Here is a 6640-nt window from a genome sequence, read left to right as displayed (position 1 = left end):
ACCCATTAACTTGTCATTTAGCATTAGGTATATCTCCTAATGCTATCCCTCCCCCCGCCCCCCACCCCACAACAGGCCCCGGTGTGTGATGTTCCCCTTCCTATGTCCATGTGTTCTCATTGTTCAATTCCCATCTATGACTGAGAACATGCGGTGTTTGGTTTTTTGTCCTTGAGATAGTTTGCTCAGAATGATGGTTTCCAGTTTCATCCATGTCCCTACAAAGGACATGAACTCATCATTTTTTATGGCTGCATGGTATTCCATGGTGTATATGTGCCACATTTTCTTAACCTAGTCTATCGTTGTTGGACATTTAGGTTGGTTCCAAGTATTTGCTATTGTGAATAGTGCCGCTATAAACATACGTGTGCATGTGTCTTTATAGCAGCATGATTTATAATCCTTTGGGTATATACCCAGTAATGGGATGGCTGGGTCAGATGGTATTTCTAGTTCTAGATCCCTGAGGAATCACCACACTGACTTCCACAATGGTTGAACGAATTTGCAGTCCCACCAACAGTGTAAAAGTGTTCCTATTTCTCCGCATCCTCTCCAGCACCTGTTGTTTCCTGACTTTTTAATAATCGCCATTCTAACTGGTGTGAGATGGTATCTCATTGTGATTTTGATTTGCATTTCTCTGATGGCCAGTGATGACGAGCATTTTTTCATGTGTTTTTTGGCTGCATAAATGTCTTCTTTTGAGAACTGTCTGTTCATATCCTTCACCCACTTTTTGATGGGGTTGTTTGTTTTTTTCTTGTAAATTTGTTTGAGTTCATTGTAGATTCTGGATATTAGCCCTTTGTCAGATGAATAGATTGCAAAAATTTTCTCCCATTCTGTAGGTTGCCTGTTCACTCTGATGGTAGTTTCTTTTGCTGTGCAGAAGCTCTTTAGTTTAATTAGATCCCATTTGTTGATTTTGTCTTTTGTTGCCATTGCTTTTGGTGTTTTAGTCATGAAGTCCTTGCCCATGCCTATGTCCTGAATGGTATTGCCTAGGTTTTCTTCTCGGGTTTTTATGGTTTTAGGTCTAACATTTAAGTCTTTAATCCATCTTGAATTAATTTTTGTATAAGGTGTAAGGAAGGGATCCAGTTTCAGCTTTCTACATATGGCTAGCCAGTTTTCCCAGCACCATTTATTAAATAGGGAATCCTTTCCCCATTGCTTGTTTTTGTCAAGTTTGTCAAAGATCAGATAGTTGTAGATATGTGGCATTATTTCTGAGGGCTCTGTTCTGTTCCATTGGTGTATATCTCTGTTTTGGTACCAGTACCATGCTGTTTTGGTTACTGTAGCCTTGTAGTATAGTTTGAAGTCAGGTAGCGTGATGCCTCCAGCTTCATTCTTTTGGCTTAGGATTGACTTGGCAATGCGGGCTCTTTTTTGGTTCCATATGAACTTTAAAGTAGTTTTTTCCAATTCTGTGAAGAAAGGCATTGGTAGCTTGATGGGGATGGCATTGAATCTATAAATAACCTTGGGCAGTATGGCCATTTTCACAATATTGATTCTTCCTACCCATGAGCATGGAATGTTCTTCCATTTGTTTGTATCCTCTTTTATTTCATTGAGCAGTGGTTTGTGGTTCTCCTTGAAGAGGTCCTTCACATCCCTTGTAAGTTGGATTCCTAGGTATTTTATTCTCTTTGAAGCAATTGTGAATGGGAGTTCACTCATGATTTGGCTCTCTGTTTGTCTGTTATTGGTGTATAAGAATGCTTGTGATTTTTGTACATTGATTTTGTATCCTGAGACTTTGCTGAAGTTGCTTATCAGCTTGAGGAGATTTTGGGCTGAGATGATGGGGTTTTCTAGATATACAATCATGTCATCTGCAAACAGGGACAACTGGACTTCCTCTTTTCCTAATTGAAAACCGTTTATTTCCTTCTCCTGCCTAATTGCCCTGGCCAGAACTTCCAACACTATGTTGAATAGGAGTGGTGAGAGGGGGCATCCCTGTCTTGTGCCCGTTTTCAAAGGGAATGCTTCCAGTTTTTGCCCATTCAGTATGATATTGGCTGTGGGTTTGTCATAGATAGCTCTTATTATTTTGAGACACGACCCATCAATACCTAATTTATAGAGAGTTTTTAGCATGAAGGGATGTTGAATTTTGTCAAAGGCCTTTTCTGCATCTATTGAGATAATCATGTGGTTTTTGTCTTTGGTTCTGTTTATATGCTGGATTACATTTATTGATTTGTGTATGTTGAACCAGCCTTGCATCCCAGGGATGAAGCCCACTTGATCATGGTCGATAAGCTTTTTGATGTGCTGCTGGATTCGGTTTGCCAGTATTTTATTAAGGATTTTTGCATCGATGTTCATCAAGGATATTGGTCTAAAATTCTCTTTTTTGGTTGTGTCTCTGCCAGGCTTTGGTATCAGGATGATGCTGGCCTCATAAAATGAGTTAGGGAGGATTCCCTCTTTTTCTATTGATTGGAATAGTTTCAGAAGGAATGGTACCAGCTCCTCTTTGTACCTCTGGTAGAATTCAGCTATGAATCCATCTGGTCCTGGACTTTTTTTGGTTGGTAAGGTATTGATTATTGCCTCAATTTCAGAGCCTGTTATTGGCCTATTCAGAGATTCAGCTTCTTCCTGGTTTAGTCTTGGGAGGATATATGTGTCGAGGAATTTATCCATCTCTTCTAGATTTTCTAGTTTATTTGCATAGAGGTGTTTATATTATTCTCTGATGGTAGTTTGTATTTCAGTGGGATCGGTGGTGATATCCCCTTTATCATTTTTTATTGCATCTATTTGATTCTTCTCTCTTATTAGTCTTGCTAGCGGTCTATTAATTTTGTTGATCTTTTCAAAAAACCAGCTCCTGGATTCATTGATTTTTGAAGGGTTTTTTGTCTCTATTTCCTTCAGTTCTGCTCTGATCTTAGTTATTTCTTGTCTTCTGCTAGCTTTTGAATGTGTTTGCTCTTGCTTGTCTAGTTCTTTTAATAGTGATGTTAGGGTGTCAATTTTAGATCTTTCCTGCTTTGTCTTGTGGGCATTTAGTGCTATAAATTTCCCTCTACACACTGCTTTGAATGTGTCCCAGAGATTCTGGTATGTTGTGTCTTTGTTCTCGTTGGTTTCAAAGAACATCTTTATTTCTGCCTTCATTTCATTATTTACCCAGTAGTCATTCAGGAACAGGTTGTTCAGTTTCCATGTAGTTGAGTGGTTTTGAGTGAGTTTCTTAATCCTGAGTTCTAGTTTGATTGCACTGTGGTCTGAGAGACAGTTTGTTATAATTTCTGTTTGTTTACATTTGCTGAGGAGTGCTTTACTTCCAACTATGTCGTCAATTTTGGAATAGGTGTGGTGTGGTGCTGAAAAGAATGTATATTCTGTTGATTTGGGGTGGAGAGTTCTGTAGATGTCTATTAGGTCCGCTTGGTGCAGAGCTGAGTTCAATTCCTGGATATGCTTGTTAACTTTCTGTCTCGTTGATCTGTCTAATGTTGACAGTGGGGTGTTAAAGTCTCCCATTATTATTGTGTGGGAGTCTAAGTCTCTTTGTAGGTCACTCAGGACTTGCTTTATGAATCTGGGTGCTCCTGTATTGGGTGCATATATATTTAGGATAGTTAGCTCTTCTTGTTGAATTGATCCCTTTACCATTATGTAATGGCCTTCTTTGTCTCTTTTGATCTTTGTCGGTTTAAAGTCTGTTTTATCAGAGACTGGGATTGCAACCCCTGCCTTTTTTTGTTTTCCATTTGCTTGGTAGATCTTCCTCCATCCCTTTATTTTGAGCCAATGTGTGTCCCTGCACGTGAGATGGGTTTCCTAAATACAGCACACTGATGGGTCTTGACTCTTTTATCCAATTTGCCAGTCTGTGTCTTTTAATTGGAGCACTTAGCCCATTTACATTTAAAGTTAATATTGTTATGTGTGAATTTGATCCTGTCATTATGATGTCAGCTGGTTATTTTGCTCGTTAGTTGATGAAGTTTCTTCCTAGCCTTGATGGTCTTTACAATTTGGCATGTTTTTGTAGTGGCTGGTACTGGTTGTTCCTTTCCATGTTTAGTGCTTCCTTCAGGAGTCTTTTAGGGCAGGCCTGGTGGTGACAAAATCTCTCAGCATTTGCTTGTCTGTAAAGGATTTTATTTCTCCTTCACTTATGAAGCTTAATTTGGCTGGATATGAAATTCTGGGTTGAAAATTCTTTCCTTTAAGAATGTTGAATATTGGTCCCCACTCTCTTCTGGCTTGTAGAGTTTCTTCCAAGAGATCAGCTGTTAGTCTGATGGGCTTCCCTTTGTGGGTAACCCGACCTTTCTCTCTGGCTGCCCTTAACATTTTTTCCTTCATTTCAACTTTGGTGAATCTGACAATTATGTGTCTTGGAATTGCTCTTCTCGAGGAGTATCTTTGTGGCATTTTCTGTATTTCCTGAATTTGAATGTTAGCCTGCCTTGCTAGATTGGGGAAATTCTCCTGGATAATATACTGAAGAGTGTTTTCCAACTTGGTTCTATTCTCCCCGTGACTTTCAGATACACCAATCTGACGTAGATTTGGTCTTTTCACATAGTCCCATATTTCTTGGAGGCTTTGTTTGTTTCTTTTTATTCTTTTTTCTCTAAACTTCTCTTCTCGCTTCATTTCATTCATTTCGTCTTCCATTGCTGATACCCTTTCTTCCAGTTGATCGCATTGGCTACTGAGGCTTATACATTCGTCACTTAGCTCTCGTGCCTTGGTTTTCAGCTCCATCAGGTCCTTTAAGGACTTCTCTGCATTGGTTATTCTAGTTATCCATTCGTCATTCTAGTTATCCATTCGTCTAATTTTTTTTCAAAGCTTTTAATTTCTTTGCCATTGGTTCGAATTTCCTCCTGTAGCTCGGAGTAGTTTGATGGTCTGAAGCCTTCTTCTCTCAACTCGTCAAAGTCATTCTCCGTCCAGCTTTGTTCCGTTGCTGGTGAGGAGCTGCGTTTCTTTGGAGGAGGAGAGGCGCTCTGATTTTTAGAGTTTCCAGTTTTTCTGCTCTGTTTTTTTCCCATCTTTGTGGTTTTATCTACCTTTGGTCTTTGATGATGGTGACGTACAGATGGGTTTTTGGTGTGGATGTCCTTTCTGTTTCTTAGTTTTCCTTCTAACAGACAGGACCCTCAGCTGCAGGTCTGTTGGAGTTTGCTAGAGGTCCACTCCAGACACTGTTTGCCTGGGTATCAGAAGTAGTGGCTGCAGAACAGTGGATTTTGGTGAACTGCAAATGCTGCTGCCTGATCATTCCTCTGGAAGTTTTGTCTCAGAGGAGTACCCAGCCGTGTAAGGTGTCAGTCCGCCCCTACTGGGGGGTGCCTCCCAGTTAGGCTACTCGGGGGTCAGGGACCCACTTGAGGAGGCAGTCTGCCCGTTCTCAGATCTCAAGCTGCATGCTGGGAGAACCACTACTCTCTTCAAAGCTGTCAGACAGGGACATTTAAGTCTGCAGAGGTTACTGCTGTCTTTTTGTTTCTCTGTGCCCTGCCCGCAGAGGTGGAGCCTATAGAGGCAGGCAGGCCTCCTTGAGCTGTGGTGGGCTCCACCCAGTTCGAGCTTCCAGGCCGCTTTGTTTACCTAATCAAACAACTAACTAGGCAGTGTCGGGCGCCCCTCCCCCAGCCTCGCTGCCGCCTTGCAGTTTGATCTCGGACTGGTGTGCTAGCAATGAGGGAGACTCCGTGGGCATACAACCTTCTGAGCCAGGTGAGGGATATAATCTAGTGTGCCGTTTTTTAAGCCCATTGGAAAAGGGGAGTATTAGGGTGGGAGTGACCCGATTTTCCAGGTGCCGTCTGTCACCCCTTTCTTTGACTAGGAAAGGGAATTCCCTGACCCCTTGCGCTTCCCTGGTGAGGCGATGCCTCGCCCTGCTTCGGCTCGCGCACAGTGTGCTGCACCCACTGTCCTGCGCCTACTGTCTGGCACTCCCCAGTGAGAGGAACCCGGTACCTCAGTTGGAAATGCAGAAATCACCTGTCTTCTGCGTCACTCACGCTGGGAGCTGTAGACTGGAGCTGTTCCTATTCGGCCATCTTGGCTCCTCCCCCAAAATCTGGATTTTCAGCAAACACTTCGGGTGATTCTTATGTGGGCTGTGTTGCGGAGTTGTTGGCAGTGGTTAAATACAGACTTTGGAGTGGAAGAGCTGGCTTTGAATTCTGACTCTGACACTTCCTAGTTGTGTTACCTGGAATAAGATCCTTAAAACTGCTAAGTTGGCTTTCTCATCTGTGAAATACTTTCCCATTGGAATTTTTGTCAAGGCTAAATGAGTTTGTGTTTTGGGGCACTCAGTACAGTGAGGAGCAATCAATAAAATAACAGTCGTAGAGAAGATGATATTCGATATGATGGTATCAGAGACATTCACAGAAGGATGTGCAATGAGCAAGGTCAGGAAACTATGCAGAGGTGCTGCAGCATCCAGAGATTAGCAATAGTGGGAAGCTGTTACCAACCTTAGTTCTGAGGGGCAAGGAGAGAAAATATTATAGAGTCAAGTGAGAGCTGAATTCTTGGAGCAGGTCCGCTTCACAGCAGCTGTGATTGAAGGGACGCAGCTACTCTTAGAAATGCAAGCAAAGCAGGGAGGGAGGGAAAAGAAACACCCTAAGCT

General features: G+C 42.1%; 1 annotated feature.

Annotated features, from left to right (window-relative positions):
• Positions 5296–5849: an enhancer, noted in NCBI's record as "NANOG-H3K27ac hESC enhancer chr3:63631069-63631622 (GRCh37/hg19 assembly coordinates)". NCBI's record gives its function as "activates a minimal SCP1, AML or CMV promoter by ChIP-STARR-seq in naive H9 embryonic stem cells {active_cell/tissue: H9 hESC(naive)}" and the evidence as "EXISTENCE:reporter gene assay evidence [ECO:0000049][PMID:30033119]".

The sequence above is a fragment of the Homo sapiens genome, chromosome 3 (genome assembly GCF_000001405.40).
Source record: "Homo sapiens chromosome 3, GRCh38.p14 Primary Assembly".
Classification (NCBI taxonomy): domain Eukaryota; kingdom Metazoa; phylum Chordata; class Mammalia; order Primates; family Hominidae; genus Homo; species Homo sapiens.
Note: the sequence above shows the minus strand (reverse complement) of the source record. Positions and strands in the feature narration are given on the sequence as shown.